This window comes from Homo sapiens, chromosome 7 (genome assembly GCF_000001405.40).
Source record: "Homo sapiens chromosome 7, GRCh38.p14 Primary Assembly".
NCBI lineage: Eukaryota > Metazoa > Chordata > Mammalia > Primates > Hominidae > Homo > Homo sapiens.
Window position 1 is genome coordinate 73,823,782 of NC_000007.14, and position 19,454 is coordinate 73,843,235.

Below are 19,454 nucleotides of genomic sequence, written 5' to 3' on the forward strand. Positions count from 1 at the left end.
GCACTTTGGAAGGCTGAGGCAGGAGGATCACTTCTTGAGGCCAGGAGTTCGAGACCAGCCTGGGCATCATCGGGAGAACCTGTCTCTACAAAAAAATAAGAAGTTAGCTGGGTGTGGTGGTGCACACCTGTAGTCCCAGCTACACCAGAGGCTGAAGGTGGAGGTTTTCTTGAGCCCAGGAGTTTGAGGCTTCAGTGAGCTACGACTGTGCCACTGCACTGTAGCCTGGGTGACAGAGCGAGACTTCATGTCTTAAAAACAAAAACAAGAGAACAACAATGATGCCCCTGCACTGTTTTGCAGTGAGATAAAATGACTTCCTGTTATTCAATGTTATCCGAAGGCATTTAGGTTAGTGCCTGGCCCCGAAGCAGGTGCTCAAAACATGGTTTACTGGCTGGCTTGCTCCCTGAGAGGCCAGGGCAGAGGTGCCTGGCAGGAGGAGGCTGCCCTGAATGGGGAGAGGGAGGGGTGGGGCTGGAGAGGATTGACTCCTCCATCAGATTAGAGGGTCTTCAGGAATTCCACCGCCCTTAGGTCCTCTTCCTCCCTCGCCTCTGGGAAATTGGAGTAAAATCCAGTAGAGACAGGACTGCCCTGAAGTGAGGAGGCGGGAGCCGGAGGGAGTCGGGGAGGTGGGTGGGAAGGAGGGTTTATGGACCTCCCTGTGAAGTGGGGGAATGGCCTGTGAAGGGCTGGACAGCTGGGTAGGATGGTGGGAATGCTGAAGGTCACGGTAAATACGGGCTTGCTAATTATTTATTTATTAGAGATGAGGTCTTGCTCTGTCACCCAGGTTGGAGTGCAGTGGCATGATCATGGCTCGCTGTAGCCTCCAACTCCTGGGTTTAAGTGATCTTCCTGCCTCAGCCTCCCGAATAGCTGGGATTTACAGGTGTATGCGACCATGCCTGGCTAATTAAAAAAAAAAATTTGTTTTTGAAAAAGGGTCTCACTATGTTGCCCAGGTAGGTCTTGAATTCCTGGCCTCAAGTAATCCTCCTGCCTCAGCCTCCCAAAGTGCTGGGATTACAGGCATGAGCCACCATGCCTGGCCAGGTGTTTTGAAACTGACAGACATAAACTGAAATCGATGCACCGATTTGGGGTAAAGTAATTTAACAACGGTCCTCTAAGTCCTGTCCCCTGTGTAAGCCTCCTCCCCTTCACACAGTCATCTCTTCTGAGTCTCTCTAACTAAGCTCTCTCACCGAGTCCCCTCCCTTTGCTCAGCCCCTCTCCCCATCCTTGCCACCAGAAGTGCCAGACCCTGGGACTCCAGCCAGGAGGCATCAGTATGGTCTTTCTTCTCTTCCTTAGAAGAAACCCCAGAGGTGGCCACCGCCCCCACCCACGGCCCACGTGGTGCCCAACCTGGGGGCAGCACCCGCTCAGCCAGTCTCGCCAGACTGGTCAGCCAGGCCTGCCATCACCCAGCACCAGGCCGAGGGGGTGGATGGTCCGCTGGTGTGGGCGGTCAGGCTGAGGGCCAGGGACTCTCCTGTTCAGCCTGGTGCCAGGACTCCAATCTGAGCTCAAGGACTTCAGAAAGAAATAGGATCTTGTTGCCTAAAGAAAGAAAAAAATTCCATCCTTTACTATTTTTTATTTTTTGAGTTGGAGTCTCACTCTGCCTCCCAGGCTGGAGTGCAGTGGCGTGATCTCGGCTCACTGCAAGCTCCGCCTCCCAGGTTCACGCTGTTCTCCTGCCTCAGCCTCCCAAGTAGCTGGGACTACAGGTGCCCACCACCATGCCCGACTAATTTTTTGTATTTTGAGTAGAGATGGGGTTTCACCATGTTAGCCAGGATGGTCTCAATCTCCTGACCTCGTGATCCGCCCACCTCCGCCTCCCAAAGTGCTGGGATTACAGGCGTGAGCCACCGTGCCCGGCCTACTGTTTTTTATTTTTTAAGAGACAGGATCTTGGTCTGTCGCTCAGGCTGGAGTGCAGTGGTGTGATCTCAGCTCACTGCAACCTCTGCCTCCTGGGTTCAAGCGATTCTCCCACCTCAGTCTCCCGAGCAGCTCCCGACCACAGGCACACGCCACCATGCCCAGCTAATTTTTAGTATAGACGGGGTTTCACCATGTTGGCCAGGCTGGTCTAGAACTCTTGGCCCAAGTGATCCTTCCACCTCAGCTTCCTAAAGTGCTGGGATTACAGGTGTGAGCCACTGTGTCCGCCCTAGGAATCAATTTAATATACACTGGCTTCCCTGGCTTTAGTCTTCCTGTTCCCAGAAGACGTGGAGTACGGGCTCTGGGAGCTAGACTGCTCAGCTCACAGAGATCTTTTTGGCTGCAGGACAGTGGTCCATCACTGGCCCTGGGGCTCAGATGCCAGCGGGAGCTTGGGGTTAGAAGGGAGACTTTGTTTTTGCCCCTTTGCTAGGGACTCCCAGGGAGCTGAACTCAGGGCAAGCTGCATGTGTGTGTGTTACAACTGGGGACTTGGGGCCAGGCGGGGTAGCTCACGCCTGCAATCCCAGCATTTTGGGAGGCTGAGGAGGGCAGATCACTTGAGGCTAGAAGTTCGGGACCAGCCTGGCCAACATGCTGAAACCCTGTCTCTACTAAAACTACAAAAATTAGCTGGGCGTAGTGGCGAGCACCTGTAGTTCCAGCTACTCGGGAGGCTGAGGCAGGAGAATCGCTTGAACCTGGGAGGCAGAGGTTGCAGTGAACCGAGATTGCACCACTGCACTATAGCCTGGGTGACAGCGACATTCCGTCTCAAAAAAAGAGAACAAAACAAAACAAAACAAAACAACTGGGGACTTGGCCAAGCCCCTGGAACTCTGGGGACAGGGGTCTGAAAAGTCCTAGCTCCCACCTGTTATGATCAGGATCCGAACTGCGCAGCAGCTGCTTTGCGTACGGAACTTTGCTCCCTCCTCTTGTTATTAAACTTTTTGGCTCACAAAGCATTTTTACTTCCTTCTCTCATTTCATGTGTATCTCAGACTGGGGAGTGGGCCCCAGTGTTCTCATTGTACAAAGGAGGAAGTTGGGGCTCAGAGATGGAATTGGCTTCTCCAAGGTCACAGGGCTGGTAGGATGGCTTATGGATACACAGCTTCCCAGCTTTTGTCCTGAGCTTTTTGGCTCATGAAGCATTTTCACATCCCCATCTCATTTCACGTCTGTTTTTGTTTTTGATCCTGGAGGGGGTGCAACATCCTCATTTTTACAAAGGAGGAAGCTGTGGCTCAGAGATGGTTCCTGGGCTGGAAAGATGGTTTATGGGGTGGGCAGAGATGGGTGAGCTGATCTGGTGGTTTTTATCCTTGATAGAAACCAGCAGGTGTGGCCAGGCGCAGTGGCTCACGCCTGCAATCCCAGCACTTTGGGAGGCCGAGGCGGGCAGATCATCTGAGGCTGGAAGTTTGAGACCAGCCTGGCCAACATGCTGAAACCCTGTCTCTACTAAAACTACAAAAATTAGCTGGGCGTAGTGGTGTGCGCCTGTACTCCCAGCTACTCGGGAGGTTAAGCCATGAGAATTGCTTGAACCCGGGAAGTGGAGACTGCAGTGAGCAGAGATCGTGTTGTCTCAAAACAAAAAACAAACAACAAAAACAACAAAAAACAACAACAAAAAACAAAAAAAAGCACGTGATCCAATTCTGTCAGCACAAAATCACACAGTGCATGTTATAAAGAAGAAAAAGAAAATAAATGAGTGCCAACCCTGTACTCTCTGACCCCAAAACCAAGGTGATGAATGGCAGATGTCTTATAAGGTGTTCCTGTAAAAGATCTTCGGGCTTTGGGAAGAGGGCCAGATGCAGGCCTAGAGGTAAATTTCCTTGTTTTCCTCTGCCTTAGGGCTATGGGAGCTGGAGCGGAGAGGAGAGAAGCACCTTGCCTTTGCTGGTGTTTTTCCCGCAGCAGGTGGGTGGGACTGAGCCAACGGTCTCTTGGCATCAACAAAGCATCAACAAATCTCTCTCCAGCTCCACTTGTGCTGAGCTACTGGCTGATCCCCAAGGACATCCTTCTGGCCTCTCCTTCACACCTGGGTCCCCTAGCCCTGCGTGAGCTCTGTGCTTCTTCCCCTGCCCTGTGTCTGCTCTATGCCTGGAGCCTCTGTACCTGCCCTCTCCTCAACCCCCAACCCCTCCCTGCTCTCAGCTCCCGATACGCGTGGCTATGCCTGGGAGGGAAGGACAGCTTCTTAGGGCCACAGGTGGACTGTTGTAGGGCTTGCATGCTCCCCTCCCCCATGCCTGCTTCTCCAAGTGGCACTTGGCTGTGTCCCAGGAAAGCAAGGGCAGGAAGTGGCAGGGCGGGGGCCGGGGGCCGGGGGGGCAGGAGGCGGGCGGGGGGTTGGGGGGGGCAGGTTCTGGCCATCTGGCCAAGTCACGTGTCTACTCAGAAAGCTTGTTAAAGGCTACCTGGCTGGGACCACAGGTAAGAGGCACCTGGGGAAGGAGGCACCCATGCTGGAGTGCCCACCCGTCCTGGGCAAGGCCCTGGCCTTCTCTGGGCTTCAGTGTACTCCTTTGAGCCAAGGCAATAAAAGTCCCTGCCCTGCTGACTGGCAGGAGGCTGTGATGAGGTCATCTCCAGGAAAGCACTTATCGCCAATCATGATGTTACTTATCTCTGGTGTTATTCAGCCCATAGGCTCTGTGTGTAGAGGGAGCCTTGTAAAGAAAGCCCCAGGGAGGCGTGGTCTGGGCAGAAACCATCTCTGTTTGCTTTGGTGTGTGTGCCTATGATGGGGGTCAAGGTATAGGAGTGTGATTTGAAACTGGAGAATGCTTCGTTCTTTCCATCATCAAACATGTCTTTTTTTTTCTTTTTTTTTAGATGGAGTCTCGCTCTATCACCCAGGCTGGAGTGCAATGGCGCGATCTTGGCTCACCGCAACCTCCATCTCCCAGGTTAAAGCGATTCTCCTGCCTCAGTCTCCTGAGTAGCTGTGATTACAGGCGTGCGCCATCACACCCAGCTAATTTTTGTATTTTTTAGTAGAGATGGGGTTTCACCATGTTGGCCTAACTCCTGACCTCGTGATCTGCCCATCTTGGCCTCCGAAAGTACTGGGATTACAGGTGTGAGCCACTGCACCCGGCCCAAACATTTCTTTTTCTTTTCTTTTGAGACAGAGTCTTGCTCTGTTGCCCGTGGCTGGAGTGAAATGGTGCGATTATAGTTCACTGCAGCCTCAAACTCCTGGCCTTAAGCGATCCTCCCATCCTGGCCTCCCAAAGTGCTGGGATTATAGGCATGAGCCGCAGCAACCACTCCTCACATTTCTTGAGCATCTGTGATGTATCAAGCCAGATGCTGGGCACTGAGGTTGCAGAAGGCATTGTTCCTGTCTTCTAGGAGCCCCAGGCTAGCAGGGAAGACGGATGTGTATAGAGTTAACCACAATACCAGGCCTCAACTTCCCGTCTGTAACACAGGTGGACCATGCTAGATTGTCCCAGCCTGCCCTGTGCTTCATTAGCCGGTCAACAGATCCATCTCAAATACCTCCCATGGGTACTCACTGATTGCTTTAACCCAAACCATGGCACTCTTGAAGACTTTCCCTCAGGAAGCTCAAGGACTATGCATCCTTCTGGGTCAGAACTGGACACACAGCCACCAGTGCTGGACAATGGCGGCGGCTCAGGGACACACTGGAGCCCTGGCCCCTGCAGAGCTCCCAGCATGGTTGGGAAGAGAGATGCAAAATGACCACACGGCGGGTGAGGAGGAGCTCCCTCGGTGCGGCTGGGATGAGCCCTAGACACTCTCAATCACCCCCACGATGACCCCTTCCCAGAGGTCCCCTCAGTCATCTGCCCTGAACCAAGCTCTTCCTGATCCTAGACCCTCCACCCTCCCTCTATCTTCCAGGGCTTGGTGACATTCCAGGCAGAAATTTCTGACCCTTTTACTTTGGTCCCTCCCTCCCCAGCCCAGTCTCTGGTCAAACTGGATTCCTGGCTGTTCCCAGAACGAGCTGCCTTTCCCCACCTTGCCACCTCTGCCCTTGTTCTCTCTGCCTGAATGTCCTCCTTCACTAGCCTCGCTGCCTTGCACATCTCTCCTGAGGGCTGTCATCCCAGAATGAGCTGCATTTGTCCAGCCTGGCCCACCGTCTACCAGAACGTCCTCCTTCAGCCTGTCCCACTGCCTTGCAAAACTTTTCTGGGGGACCTGTTCACGATGCCTTCTGTAGCATACTCCAAGAATCCGGCGCCCCCTGGAGTTGTGCCACACAGCACCCCTTTGCAGTCAAGCTCCCTCAGCACCACCACCTCCACCCTGGAAGAGTTCCCCTTCCCTTTGAAATCTCATGGGACTTTGCACCCACTCTGGCTTTATTGGAAGGCTTTGTATGTCTCCACAGGGTAAACACCCATTTACTGGGGTGATGATGTCTCCAGGATCTAGTTCATGTTTGTCGTTGGTGACTGGCCCCACCCAGTTCTGGGCAAGCAGGCTGGATCCCGGCAGGAACAGAGCCCACCAGCCTAAACTTCCATGGAGGTGGAGAGGGGACAGGCTTCTGTCTCTTTTTGGCTGAAGGTGCATCATGTCCAAGGCCCCTCTTCTAGCCAAGCAGAGAAGCTGGGTGATAAGGATGGGTGAGAGTGGGTGATGTACCCCGGAGTCCTGGCCTCCCGGCTCCTCACTCCCCTACACGTAACTTTATCCGGCCAATGCCGCAAAGACTGCTGGTGAGGCCAGATGCATGAGTGATCATACTCACAACAGTCGTGAAACTGCCAGTGATGAAACTGGTAAGGACAAGAAATGACAATAATCAAGGTGGGGTTTCTCGTGGACGTTTCCAAGACTTCATTCTCAAATTCTCTCCCTCAGGGTCCCCACCCTGTCCTCCCACCTAAGCCTGGAATGAGGGGGCACTGGCCTGTGGGGACCCTGGTCTTCAGGCTCCCAAACCTGGCTGGGTCTGGTTGCCCCCTGGCCTTAACCTGTGAACATCCAGCTGTCCCTGGGCTGTGATTCAGTGTCTGTCTCCCGGGTGACCTCAGCATGGGCTTTGAGGAAGGGGAGAGAGTAGTTTCTTCTGAGACTGGATAGTGACTCAGGGACCCGGGGCTGGGGCCTCAAAAGTGCCTTTGTTGGCCTGGGCTCAGGAATCCAGAGAAACTGGTCAGGAGGAGGCCCCAGTGACAAAAACCCCTCCCTCTGCCCCCGCCCCTCTGCCAGAGCCATATAACTGCTCAACCTGTCCCCGAGAGAGAGTGCCCTGGCAGCTGTCGGCTGGAAGGAACTGGTCTGCTCACACTTGCTGGCTTGCGCATCAGGACTGGCTTTATCTCCTGACTCACGGTGCAAAGGTGCACTCTGCGAACGTTAAGTCCGTCCCCAGCGCTTGGAATCCTACGGCCCCCACAGCCGGATCCCCTCAGCCTTCCAGGTCCTCAACTCCCGTGGACGCTGAACAATGGCCTCCATGGGGCTACAGGTAATGGGCATCGCGCTGGCCGTCCTGGGCTGGCTGGCCGTCATGCTGTGCTGCGCGCTGCCCATGTGGCGCGTGACGGCCTTCATCGGCAGCAACATTGTCACCTCGCAGACCATCTGGGAGGGCCTATGGATGAACTGCGTGGTGCAGAGCACCGGCCAGATGCAGTGCAAGGTGTACGACTCGCTGCTGGCACTGCCGCAGGACCTGCAGGCGGCCCGCGCCCTCGTCATCATCAGCATCATCGTGGCTGCTCTGGGCGTGCTGCTGTCCGTGGTGGGGGGCAAGTGTACCAACTGCCTGGAGGATGAAAGCGCCAAGGCCAAGACCATGATCGTGGCGGGCGTGGTGTTCCTGTTGGCCGGCCTTATGGTGATAGTGCCGGTGTCCTGGACGGCCCACAACATCATCCAAGACTTCTACAATCCGCTGGTGGCCTCCGGGCAGAAGCGGGAGATGGGTGCCTCGCTCTACGTCGGCTGGGCCGCCTCCGGCCTGCTGCTCCTTGGCGGGGGGCTGCTTTGCTGCAACTGTCCACCCCGCACAGACAAGCCTTACTCCGCCAAGTATTCTGCTGCCCGCTCTGCTGCTGCCAGCAACTACGTGTAAGGTGCCACGGCTCCACTCTGTTCCTCTCTGCTTTGTTCTTCCCTGGACTGAGCTCAGCGCAGGCTGTGACCCCAGGAGGGCCCTGCCACGGGCCACTGGCTGCTGGGGACTGGGGACTGGGCAGAGACTGAGCCAGGCAGGAAGGCAGCAGCCTTCAGCCTCTCTGGCCCACTCGGACAACTTCCCAAGGCCGCCTCCTGCTAGCAAGAACAGAGTCCACCCTCCTCTGGATATTGGGGAGGGACGGAAGTGACAGGGTGTGGTGGTGGAGTGGGGAGCTGGCTTCTGCTGGCCAGGATAGCTTAACCCTGACTTTGGGATCTGCCTGCATCGGCGTTGGCCACTGTCCCCATTTACATTTTCCCCACTCTGTCTGCCTGCATCTCCTCTGTTCCGGGTAGGCCTTGATATCACCTCTGGGACTGTGCCTTGCTCACCGAAACCCGCGCCCAGGAGTATGGCTGAGGCCTTGCCCACCCACCTGCCTGGGAAGTGCAGAGTGGATGGACGGGTTTAGAGGGGAGGGGCGAAGGTGCTGTAAACAGGTTTGGGCAGTGGTGGGGGAGGGGGCCAGAGAGGCGGCTCAGGTTGCCCAGCTCTGTGGCCTCAGGACTCTCTGCCTCACCCGCTTCAGCCCAGGGCCCCTGGAGACTGATCCCCTCTGAGTCCTCTGCCCCTTCCAAGGACACTAATGAGCCTGGGAGGGTGGCAGGGAGGAGGGGACAGCTTCACCCTTGGAAGTCCTGGGGTTTTTCCTCTTCCTTCTTTGTGGTTTCTGTTTTGTAATTTAAGAAGAGCTATTCATCACTGTAATTATTATTATTTTCTACAATAAATGGGACCTGTGCACAGGAGGAAATTTTATTGTCTCTGATTTCAACTGTGGAGGTGGGTGGGGAAGGGCTGGAGGCCTGGGTGCGGGGGTGGGGGGGGTCAGTCAGGGGCAGGACCACTGTGTTTTGGCCGGGACATAAACACTTAAAAAAAAAAAAAAAAAACGAGATCCAGGGAATTGTGAAAAATTGGAGCTGGGCCGGGTGCGGTAGTGAGCACCTGCAATCCCAGCACTTTAAAAGGTCGAGGTGGGAGGATCGCTCGAGGCAGGAGTTTGAGACCAGCCTGGGGAACATAGTGGCACCATCTCTACAAAAAGTTAAAAAAATTAGCTGGGTGTGGTGGCTCATGCCTGTAATCCCTGTACTTGGGGAGGTCGAGGTAGGCGAATTGCTTGAGCCCAGGAGTTTGAGGCTGCAGTGAGCTTTGATCGCACCACTGCACTCCAGCCTGGGTGACAGGGCGAGACCTTATCTCTTAACGAAAAAAAAAAAAAAATCGAAACGGGCCTCCAAGGTATCACCTTAAAAAAGAAATTAAATGGGCCCCCAAGGTATCACCTTGTCCACTGTATATGGGTTGGAGGGTAAACCCATATACAGAAAACAGCGTATGCCCGGGACCCCGGTGAAGGGTTGGGGACCCCAGGAGGGACGTCCCCACGTGGGCTCCCAGCTCCGAGGTATGGGCCACCTGCCACCCCCACCCCGCTGTTGTTGCAGCTTTGTCTGGGCAGTCAGGCTGGTCTGTTCCTCTTTGCTGAGTCACCCTACAGGTCCCCCTTCCCAGCCTTTGCACAGCCGGTCCCTGCTTCCAGCCTGGAATGTCCCTTTTCCCTTCTCCACCCTCTGGATCCTGCTCGTCCTGAAAGCCCAGCTCCCAGCCTCCTCCCCCATGAAGTCTTCCCATTCTCTTGGATGGAGAAATTATTATCAGCCCTGTTCACATCCCTGAGGTGCTGAGGGTCACCAAATGCCTTTCACCTGGAGGGCAGCCTTCAAGCCACGCCCAGAGCTCGGCATTCTGATCCCTTGATCGATGAGGAAACCAAGTGTGGCCCAGGCCCAGACCTACAGCTTGGGATTTTGGACTCCAAATTTGGGTGGGGGAGCTGTCCAGGACAGGACTTGGGCCTCAGCAACCACTTGGGCTTGGCCTTGGCCTTGAGTCTCTGCCCTGCTACTGTTGTGCAAAGCATGTTCCAAGCTTGCTCAGGCTTCATTTTCTTGTCAGTAAGTTAGAGGTGAGCGGACCCAGCACTCTGGAAGGAGGGATCCAGGGAGGCCCCAGGAAGGGGTCTTCTCCATCATTTCTTGCTTTTTTTCTTTTCTTTTCTTTTTTTTTTTGAGACAGAGTCTTGCTCTGTTGCCCAGGCTGGAGTGCAGTGGTGTGCTCTGGGCTCACTGCAACCTCTGCCTCCCAGGCTCAAGTGATTCTCCTGTCTCAGCCTCCCAAATAGCTGGCATGCACCCACGGCACCTGGCTGATTTTTCCAATTTTTTTTTTTTTTGAGACAGAGTCTCGCTCTGTCACCCAGTGGCACCATCTCAGCTCACTGCAACCTCCGCCTCCTGGGCTCATGCAATTCTCCTGCCTCAGCCTCGCAACTAGCTGGGATTACAGGGGTGTGCTACCATGCCCAGCTAATTTTTGTATTTTTAGTAGAGACAGGGTTTCGCCATGTTGGCCAGGCTGGTCTCGAACTCCAGACCTCAAGTGATCCTCCCGCCTCGGCCTCCCAAAGTGTTAATTTTTACAATTTTTCTTTAAGATAGGGGTCTCACTATGTTGCCCAGGCTGGTTTTGAACTCGTGGTCTCAAGAGATCCTCCTGCCTTGGCCTTCCAAATTGTTGGGATTACAGGTGTGAGCCACCACACCCTGCTACGTCTCGATTCTGGAACCCACAGGAACAGATGCCACTGTTTTCTGGGAGCTCATTTAATAGGCAGGGCATTTCTGAGGGGCAGGGTTGGTTCGGAGGTCCCATTTTACAGGGGAGGCAGAGGAGGCCCAGCAGATGGGCCCAGCTAAGGCCACATGGAGTCAGGGGCCAGCTGGGGGCTGGGGGCTGGATCTCACTTCCTCAACCTGGGTCGCCTTCCACTTTCGGTACAGGTAGACAATGCCGGAGATGAAGCCATCCTTGGCAGAGATGCCGGATACCACCTCCAGCTCGGAGGTAGCCAGCTCCCAGCGGTCCACAGGCGGTCCACAGGCCAGGCCACCAGGCCTTCCCACATCCCAGCCTGCTCCAGCCTGTCCAGGGTGGCCTCCAGAGCCTCCTTGTATTGAAGGTTGGACGAGTTGGTCCTGGTGGTCAGACACACCAGCCCACCTGGGGGAGAGGGGTAGGTGAGGTGGGGGAGGGGCAGGAGCCACAGTCCTGGGCCATCTCTGCTGGGGATGGTTGTCCCTTCAAGGCAAGAAATTCGACTTAAAAGATTGGGGACGCTCTCTCCCTCTCCCTCTCCCTCTCCCTCTCCCTCCTCTCCCTCCTCTCCCTCCTCTCCCTCCTCTCCCTCCTCTCCCTCTCCCTCTCCCTCTCCCTCTCCCTCTCCCCACGGTCTCCCTCTCCCTCTCTTTCCACGGTCTCCCTCTCATGCTGAGCCGAAGCTGGACTGTACTGCTGCCATCTCGGCTCACTGCAACCTCCCTGCCTGACTCTCCTGACTCAGCCTGCCGAGTGCCTGTGATTGCAGACTCGCGCCGCCACGCCTGACTGGTTTTGGTGGAGACGGGGTTTCGCTGTGTTGGCCAGGCCGGTCTCCAGCCCCTAACCGCACGTGATCCACCAGCCTCGGCCTCCTGAGGTGCCGGGATTGCAGATGGAGTCTCGTTCACTCAGTGCTCAATGGTGCCCAGGCTGGAGTGCAGTAGCGTGATCTCGGCTCGCTACAACCTCCACCTCCCAGCCGCCTGCCTTGGCCTCCCAAAGTGCCGAGATTGCAGCCTCTGCCCGGCCGCCACCCCGTCTGGGAAGTGAGGAGCATCTCTGCCTGGCCGCCCATCATCTGGGATGTGAGGAGCCCCTCTGCCTGGCTGCCCAGTCTGGAAAGTGAGGAGCGTCTCCGCCCGGCCGCCATCCGACCTAGGAAGTGAGGAGCACCTCTGCCCGGCCGCCATCACATCTAGGAAGTGAGGAGCGTCTCTGCCCGGCCGCCCATTGTCTGAGATGTGGGGAGCGCCTCTGCCCCGCCGCCCCGTCTGGGATGTGAGGAGCACCTCTGCCCGGCCGCAACCCCGTCTGGGAGGTGAGGAGCATCTCTGCCCGGCCGCCCCGTCTGAGAAGTGAGGAGCCCCTCCGCCTGGCAGCCGCCCCGTCTGGGAAGTGAGGAGCCCCTCCGCCCGGCAGCCGCCCCGTCTGGGAAGTGAGGAGCGTCTCCGCCCGGCAGCCACCCCATCCGGGAGGGAGGTGGGGGGGTCAGCCCCCCGCCCCACCAGCCGCCCCATCCGGGAGGGAGGTGGGGGGGTCAGCCCCCTGCCCGGCCAGCCGCCCATCCGGGAGGGAGGTAGGGGGGTCAGCCCCCCGCCAGGCCAGCCGCCCCGTCCGGGAGGGAGGTGGGGGCATCAGCCCCCCGCCCGGCCAGCCGCCCCGTCCAGGAGGGAGGTGGGGGGGTCAGCCCCCCGCCCGGCCAGCTGCCCCGTCCAGTAGGTGAGGGGCGCCTCTGCCCGGCCGCCCCTACTGGGAAGTGAGGAGCCCCTCTGCCCGGCCAGCCGCCCAGTCCGGGAGGGAGGTGGGGGGGTCAGCCCCCCGCCCGGCCAGCCGCCCCGTCCGGGAGGTGAGGGGCGCCTCTGCCCGGCCACCCCTACTGGGAAGTGAGGAGCCCCTCTGCCCGGCCAGCCGCCCCATCCGGGAGGGAGGTGGGGGGGTCAGCCCCCTGCCCGGCCAGCCCCCCCATCCGGGAAGTGAGGGGCGCCTCTGCCCGGCCGCCCCTACTGGGAGGTGGGGAGCCCCTCTGCCTGGCCAGCCGCCCCGTCCGGGAGGGAGGTGGGGGGGGTCAGCCCCCCGCCCGGCCAGCCCCCCCATCCGGGAAGTGAGGGGCGCCTCTGCCCGGCCGCCCCTACTGGGAACTGAGGAGCCCCTCTGCCCGGCCACCACCCCGTCTGGGAGGTGTGCCCAACAGCTCATTGAGAACGAGCCAGGATGACAATGGCGGCTTTGTGGAATAGAAAGGCAGGAAAGGTGGGGAAAAGATTGAGAAATCGGATGGTTGCCGTGTCTGTGTAGAAAGAAGTAGACATGGGAGACTTTTCATTTTGTTCTGTACTAAGAAAAATTCTTCTGCCTTGGGATCCTGTTGATCTATGACCTTACCCCCAACCCTGTGCTCTCTGAAACATGTGCTGTGTCCACTCAGGGTTGAATGGATTAAGGGCAGTGCAAGATGTGCTTTGTTAAACAGATGCTTGAAGGCAGCATGCTCGTTAAGAGTCATCACCACTCCCTAATCTCAAGTACCCAGGGACACAAACACTGCGGAAGGCCGCAGGGTCCTCTGCCTAGGAAAACCAGAGACCTTTGTTCACTTGTTTAGCTGCTGACCTTCCCTCCACTATTGTCCTATGACCCTGCCAAATCCCCCTCTGTGAGAAACACCCAAGAATTATCAATAAAAAATAAATAAATAAATAAATAAATTTAAAAAAAATAAAAAAAAATAAAAAGTCAATCAATTAAAAATAAATAAATAAATAAATAAATAAATAAATAAATAAAAGATTGGGGACAAATAAACACTGTAACCTAATCCCATACATGTTACTGTGGAAACAAAAAGTGAAAATAAAACCTAATTAATGTTCCAATAAAAAAAAAAAAAAAAAAGAAAAAGAAATTCTTCCAGCTTCCTTCCCAGGGCAGTCTTTCTGTGTCTTTTACATTGGGAATTCCTTTTTCTTTCTTTCTTTTTTTTTGAGACCCTGTCTTGCTCTGTCACCCAGGCTGGAGTGCAATGGCATGCTCTTGGCTCACTTCAGCCTCCGCCTCCTGGGTTCAAGTGATTCTCCTGTCTCAGCCTCCCTTGCAGCTGGGATTACAGGCACGTGCCACCACGCCCGGCTATTTTGTATTTTTTGTAGAGATGGGGTTTTGCCATGTTGGCCAGGCTGGTCTCGAACTTTTGACCTCAGGTGATCTGCCCGCTGGGGATTATAAGCGTGAGCCACTGTGCCTGCCCACCCCCCCTTTTTTTTCTTTCTTGAGATAGGATCTCACCCTATTTCCTAGGCTGGAGTGCAGCAGAGCAATCATAGCTGACTGTAGCCTCCAACTCACGAGCTCAAGCAATCCTCCCACCTCAGCCTCCTGAGTAGCTGGGACCACAGGTGCTCACCACCACGCCTGGCTAATTAAACATTTTTTTTTTGTAGAGATGGGGTCTTGCTATGTTGTCCAGGCTGCTCTTGAACTCCTGGGCTCAAGGGATCCTCCTGCCTCGGTTTCCCAAAGTGCTGGGATTATGGGGGTGAGCTACTGTGCCTGGTGGGGAATTCTTGACGTAATTCTCCTGGATTGAGGAGACACCCTCCTCACCACTCACCACTCACCCACGCCTCTGCTGGAGGATGTGACTGTGTCTGAATGGACAGGAAGAAAGTTCCCATGTGGGCTTTGGATCTTGGGCTATCCCTTCACCTCTCTGGGCCTCAGTTTCCCAGCTGGCACAGAGAGGATGATTATCTAACATCACAGGAAGGCTGGTATGTGTGTTTGAAGTGCCCTACAGTAAGTGCCGGCTGAATGGCCTTGTCACCTCAGGTCCAGGCACCTATAGTGTGCGTGCCCAGGGTGGCCCCAAGTGCACTGAGAAGGAGAGATGGGGAAGCCCAAGTGACTGGTCTGGGAAGGTTTCCTGGAGGAGGGGGTAAGGAGAAGCAGGGTGTTGCTGATAGAAGGGAGCGCAGTGAGAGGAGAGGCTCCGGAGCAGGGGAGACTGTCACCCATGGGCAGCCTGATGGGGCTGAAGGGCTTAGCAAGCACAGGTTGGGCTAGGAAGTCCGATCCTGGCTGCTTCACCCAGTAGAAAGTTCCTGTCTTCTTGGGCCCAACTTCGACCTTTCCAGCTGACCCCATCCGTGTCCCTGCATTTGTCAGCCTTCAGGGCTCCCCAGATGCCTGCCCAGACCTGCCCAGGCTTAGCCACAGCCTCTGCTGGGCCTGGCAGAGACGGGAGGGAGAGGAAGCATTTTTACCTCTATGATTTCCTGTCCTGCAGCCAGCCAGCGCCTCCTCGTTCTCATGCTCAGCCCCTCTCCTTTCTGCCTTAGGGTGCACCCCATGTGGATTCCTCACCTGGTCTTGGAAATGCCTCTCTTCTCTACATTCATGGAGCAGGACCAGGCACAGTGGCTCATGCCTATAATCCCAGCACTGTGAGAGGCCAAGGCGGGCGATCACTTGAGGTCAGGAGTTCAAGACCAGCCTGGCCAACATGATGAAACCCCATCTCTATTAAAAATACAAAAATTAGCTGGGTGTGGTGGTGGGCTCCTGTAATCCCAGCTACTTGGGAGCCTGAGGCAGGAGAATCTCTTGAACCTGGGAGGTGAAGGTTGCAGTGAACTGAGATTGTGCCACTGTACTCCAGCCTTGGTGACAGAGCAAGACTCTGTCTCAAATTAAATAAATAAATAAATTCTGGGAGCAGTGAGCACTCACGGCTCTCGTGGGGCCACCTCTGACCAGGCCCTGTGCTCTCTGGCCCCTTCCTGGGCCCCAGTGGGTTGGAGATCAAGGCCCAGAGGGCAGGGTCTGAGCCCTCTGCCCAGAGCAGAACAAAGCGCTGAGCAAGAACACAGCAGGAGACGGGAAACACACCTGCCCGGGCAGCGCAATGTGCAAAGTTTACAAACGGTGCTCACAGCTCTCATCTCCCCTGAGCAGCCCCATTTCCCAGATGAGAAGACTGAGACCAGGAAAGAGAAAGAGATGCTCCAAAGGCAGTCTATGAATGAGTGAGGAAGCAGTGAGAGGAAGGAACAGAACTGAGCCCTCACTGTGGGTCAGGACCAAAGCAAAAACCTTAGAGACAGGATTTCACCTGATTCTCACTGCAGTCCTACGGGGACTGGATTGTAGCATTTATACCACCTGACTCCCAGACTGGGAAAAGGAGGCTGCAGAGGAGGGTGGAGTTGCTCCTGGTTGTCCATGGATAAGAGCCGAGCTGGCCACCTGTCTGCCCGGCCTGTTTGCCTGGGTCTGCTGTTGGTGGCTGGGATGTTAGGCTAGGCTGTGTGTGACGCTGGGCAGGACGCTGCCCCTCGCTTAGCCTGAGGGGCTCTGGGGCCTGTGTCTGCACTATGCACAGGGGAAGGTATATGGTGACGGGGGTTGGGGGTGGTTGGCTGGGCTGCTCCTCACCTGGCTTGGTGACATGTAGCTCAGGTATCGCATTGCAGGGCACCTGGCCGTCACTGAGGGCACCGACTATCAGCACCGCGTCGAAGGTCCCTGTGTGTGTGTGGGGGGGGGTGGGGACATGGTGTGATGCTTGGAAGGTACTTTGTCTATGGTGTGGCCTCAGACCACCCTAGGGGTGGGACGAGGCTACTACCCGCATCTGCAGGACCCAGGTCCCCTAGAGGATAAGGTAAGTATGGCCCAGTTCTGGGCTGCAGTCAGATCGTGGGGTGCAGGGTTGAGTGAGGGACTGGGAGCTTAGTGTGGGAGAGGGATGGAGGATCAGCAAGGGAAAGGGCTTCATGAGGGTGGGCCTCGGGGTGTGGAGGTGGGAGAGAAAGTACCTTCCGGGCTGGGCAGAGGCTCCTGGCCCAGGGTGCAGAGGCTGAGGCGCTGATAGAGGCCGGGGGCCTGGGCCTGTTCCAGCATCCCTGGGCTCCCATCCACCCCATGCAGCTGGAGGAAGCCTGGAGCCCGCAGCTGGGGTAGGGGTGGGAGACTCAGTCATGGTTCACACCTGCCACTTCCCGGCTGGGTCCCTGCACCTTGGCAGGGCAGTGGACTCTGCACTGAATGTGGCCCATGCATTTGCTTTTTTTAAATTTTTGAGACAAGGTCTCTCTCTGTCGCCCAAACTGGAGTGCAGTGGCGTGATCATAGCTCACTGCAGCCTTGAACTTCCGGGCTCAAGTGATCCTCCCACCTCAGCCTCCCATGTAGCTGGGACTACAGGCGTGCACCACCCTGCCTGGCTAATTTTTAAATCTGTTTGTAGAGACAGGGGTCTTGCTATGTTGCCCAGGCTGACCTCAAACTCCTGGCCCCAAGCTGTCCTCCTGCCTCGGCCTCCCATAGTGTGAGCCACAGTATGCCTGGTCCTGTCTCATGCATTTGAAACAGTGAGTCTGAGGTGTGGGGCAGGGTTCTGGGGCCAGGGGCAGTAGGAGATTTGAGGAAGTGCGGGGCTAAGGAGTAGGCAGGGGATCTGGAAGAGCCTCACCTCGGCAGCCACTAGGCCTGTGCCACAGGCCACGTCCAGGATCAGGGCACTGTGGGGCGGGCCTGGAAGGGCTTGTGTGAGGCAGTCCACTGCGAGGCGGGGCGCACGGTACAGCAGGGTGGCCACATCCTGGGGAAAGAGTGCCGGGCCTACAACACCGGTGCCCCAGTGTTTGGGGGATCTCCCTTATGGGGTGGTCTCAGAGTCTGCCAGGCTAAGCTGTGTGTGTTGGGGATCAAGCCTGGCTGGGGCTAGCGTGAGGGGACGCCCAGGCATGAGGTGCTTCCCATTGCTAAAGGGCCAGGACTGGAGAGTTAGCCCCCAGCCCACTGTACAGTAGACTCAGCCCTCCAGGGACCTTCTCTCCTGGCCAAGCGGCTCTCTCTGCTGAGTCCACATGACTTTTTTTTTTTTTTTTTTTGAGACAGAGTCTCCCTCTGTCACTCGGGCTGGAGTGCAGTGAAGAGATCTTGGCTCACTGCAACCTCTGTGTCCCGGATTCAGGCAATTCTCCTGCATCAGCCTCCAGGGTAGCTGGGATTACCAGGCGCCTGCCACCACGTGGGCCTGGCTAATTTTTGTATTTTTAGTAGAGTCAGGGTTGCACCATGCTGGCCAGGCTGGTCTCGAACTCCTGACCTCAGGTGATCCGCCCGCCTCGGCCTCCCAAAGGGCTTAGGATTACGGCTTGTGAGCCACCGCGCCCGGCCCCACAGTGACTTCTCAATAGCACCTCCTCCAGGCAGCCCCCCTCAGGAGGTCATGGCCCCTGATGGGGCTGCCAATCCAGAGCTGTGGGGCGGGTTCTGGAAGGGGCAGGACTGTAGGGTTCTTAGCCAGGCCTCACTTCGTCCTCACAGCCGCCCCCGGGTGCAAGGCTGATTCCCCACTTTACAGGTAGAAAAATGGAGGCTGGTCTAGTGGAGGCAAGGCCCCAAATGAGTTTACCTGGTCGTAGTCCGGAGCCCAGCGGTCATAGAAATGGAGCTTTTGGGCCAGGTCGGGGATGCCATGCGCGGCCCTGACCCGCGCCCGCACCTCGGGCAGGCTCCCACCCTCCTCCTGGGCCATGCTCCTGTGGGGACACCGTTGCCCTGTCTCGAGGTCCACCTCAATCGCCCATCCCCTCCTTTCCCCCTTCCCTCCTCCCCCTTCAGAGGAGGCTGCCAGGCCTCCTGCCAGCGCGACCCCTATCCCGGCCCCTATCCCAGATGGGGACACTGAGCGCAGAGAGGGCGGGCTTGGATATTTACACTCTGGGGCTGCAGGGCTGGGGGAAGGGCAAGGTGGGAGAAGGGGGTGCCCCGCGGCTGGAGGAAGGACCTATCTTCCTCTTTTCCGCCCTCCGACTGAGAGAGGGTCGGAGGTGGGCGACATCCGGAGCGAAACGGTCTCGAAGGAGGCCGGAGTCAGAACTCACCGCCAATCCAGCGCGCCTCGGGCGTGTGGGCAACAGGACTCGGGGCGGGGCCTGTGTTGCGACCCTGGCCACACCCTCACCGCCTGCCCGCAATGATTGGTTTTCCGCTGAGAGAAAATAGCCAGTCAAAGGAAGGCGCTGGCAGTCTGCCCGCCCCCCCCCCCCCCGCCAGCCAATGAGCTCAAGGCTTGTGGCCCTCCTCCAGCCTTGGTAGAGCAGGGACTGCGGAGATGTTTTCCTGCTGTGCGGGTTTAGGGGCTTCTCGGTGGTCTGGCCCCGGCCTCCCCCTCCACCGTCAGGTAGCAGCACCTCCACCATCCCCCTCCAACTGCCCTCCTGCCTCCTGAAGTCCTTTATGCTTCCTGAAAGCATGAGGTTTGTAGGCACTGGGGAGTCTCTGAATTCTTATGGGCAGGAGAGGGACCTAGGATTAGCTTTCATTTTTACTTTGTATTTATATTTACTTATTTTGTTTTATTTTTGTTTTGTTTTATGAGACAGGGTCTCACTCTGTCGCCCAGGCTGGAGTGCAGTGGCTTGACCATAGCTCACTGCAGCCTTGAACTCAAGCTCAAGCCAGCCTCCTGCCTCAGCCTTCTGAGTAGCTGAGTAGCTGGGACTACAGGTGCATGCCACCTTGCCCGGCTTTTTAAATTTTTATCTATTTATTTTTATCTTCGTAGTTTTTGTAGAGACAAAAAATGTTGTCCAGGCTGGTCTTAAACTCCTAGTCTCAAGCGATTCTC

General features: G+C 56.5%; 2 protein-coding genes across 5 annotated transcripts, besides 7 other annotated features; one reads left to right on the plus strand and one right to left on the minus strand.

Moving 5' to 3' along the window:
* Positions 3,574-4,221: an enhancer, noted in NCBI's record as "H3K27ac-H3K4me1 hESC enhancer chr7:73241685-73242332 (GRCh37/hg19 assembly coordinates)". NCBI's record gives its function as "activates a minimal SCP1, AML or CMV promoter by ChIP-STARR-seq in primed H9 embryonic stem cells {active_cell/tissue: H9 hESC(primed)}" and the evidence as "EXISTENCE:reporter gene assay evidence [ECO:0000049][PMID:30033119]".
* Positions 4,222-4,869: an enhancer, noted in NCBI's record as "H3K27ac-H3K4me1 hESC enhancer chr7:73242333-73242980 (GRCh37/hg19 assembly coordinates)". NCBI's record gives its function as "activates a minimal SCP1, AML or CMV promoter by ChIP-STARR-seq in naive H9 embryonic stem cells {active_cell/tissue: H9 hESC(naive)}" and the evidence as "EXISTENCE:reporter gene assay evidence [ECO:0000049][PMID:30033119]".
* Positions 4,418-4,712: an enhancer, noted in NCBI's record as "tiled region #14121; K562 Activating non-DNase unmatched - State 8:EnhW, and HepG2 Activating DNase unmatched - State 4:PromP". NCBI's record gives its function as "activates a minimal TATA promoter and a strong SV40 promoter by Sharpr-MPRA in K562 cells, with weaker activity in HepG2 cells {active_cell/tissue: K562 | HepG2}" and the evidence as "EXISTENCE:reporter gene assay evidence [ECO:0000049][PMID:27701403]".
* Positions 6,901-7,603: an enhancer, noted in NCBI's record as "H3K27ac-H3K4me1 hESC enhancer chr7:73245012-73245714 (GRCh37/hg19 assembly coordinates)". NCBI's record gives its function as "activates a minimal SCP1, AML or CMV promoter by ChIP-STARR-seq in primed H9 embryonic stem cells {active_cell/tissue: H9 hESC(primed)}" and the evidence as "EXISTENCE:reporter gene assay evidence [ECO:0000049][PMID:30033119]".
* CLDN4 (claudin 4) lies at positions 7,215-8,909 on the plus strand. The gene has a single exon (NM_001305.5). The coding sequence runs from the start codon at positions 7,421-7,423 to the stop codon at positions 8,048-8,050; it is 630 nt and encodes a 209-aa protein (NP_001296.1). The 5' UTR covers positions 7,215-7,420; the 3' UTR covers positions 8,051-8,909.
* Positions 7,604-8,306: an enhancer, noted in NCBI's record as "H3K27ac-H3K4me1 hESC enhancer chr7:73245715-73246417 (GRCh37/hg19 assembly coordinates)". NCBI's record gives its function as "activates a minimal SCP1, AML or CMV promoter by ChIP-STARR-seq in primed H9 embryonic stem cells {active_cell/tissue: H9 hESC(primed)}" and the evidence as "EXISTENCE:reporter gene assay evidence [ECO:0000049][PMID:30033119]".
* On the minus strand, positions 10,809-18,735 carry METTL27 (methyltransferase like 27). Of its 4 annotated transcripts, XR_001744563.2 has the most exons (7): positions 18,709-18,735; positions 18,237-18,363; positions 17,289-17,417; positions 16,633-16,768; positions 16,250-16,339; positions 15,079-15,256; positions 10,809-11,221 (listed from the first exon to the last, which is right to left on the minus strand). XR_001744563.2 is itself a non-coding variant. In NM_152559.3 (6 exons), exons 2-6 carry the CDS (start codon positions 18,357-18,359, stop codon positions 10,962-10,964), a joined length of 738 nt encoding a protein of 245 aa, NP_689772.2. In that variant the 5' UTR covers positions 18,360-18,363; positions 18,709-18,735; the 3' UTR covers positions 10,809-10,961. The 4 variants fall into 4 exon arrangements, 3 of the variants coding, with proteins under 3 accessions (NP_689772.2, XP_016867266.1, XP_016867267.1); NM_152559.3 differs by lacking the exon at positions 15,079-15,256; XM_017011777.2 differs by lacking the exon at positions 15,079-15,256 and having other exon boundaries at positions 10,809-11,299.
* Positions 18,374-18,673: an enhancer, noted in NCBI's record as "active region_26130". NCBI's record gives its function as "activates an Ori minimal core promoter by ATAC-STARR-seq in GM12878 lymphoblastoid cells {active_cell/tissue: GM12878}" and the evidence as "EXISTENCE:reporter gene assay evidence [ECO:0000049][PMID:35858748]".
* Positions 18,794-18,893: a silencer, noted in NCBI's record as "silent region_18268". NCBI's record gives its function as "represses an Ori minimal core promoter by ATAC-STARR-seq in GM12878 lymphoblastoid cells {active_cell/tissue: GM12878}" and the evidence as "EXISTENCE:reporter gene assay evidence [ECO:0000049][PMID:35858748]".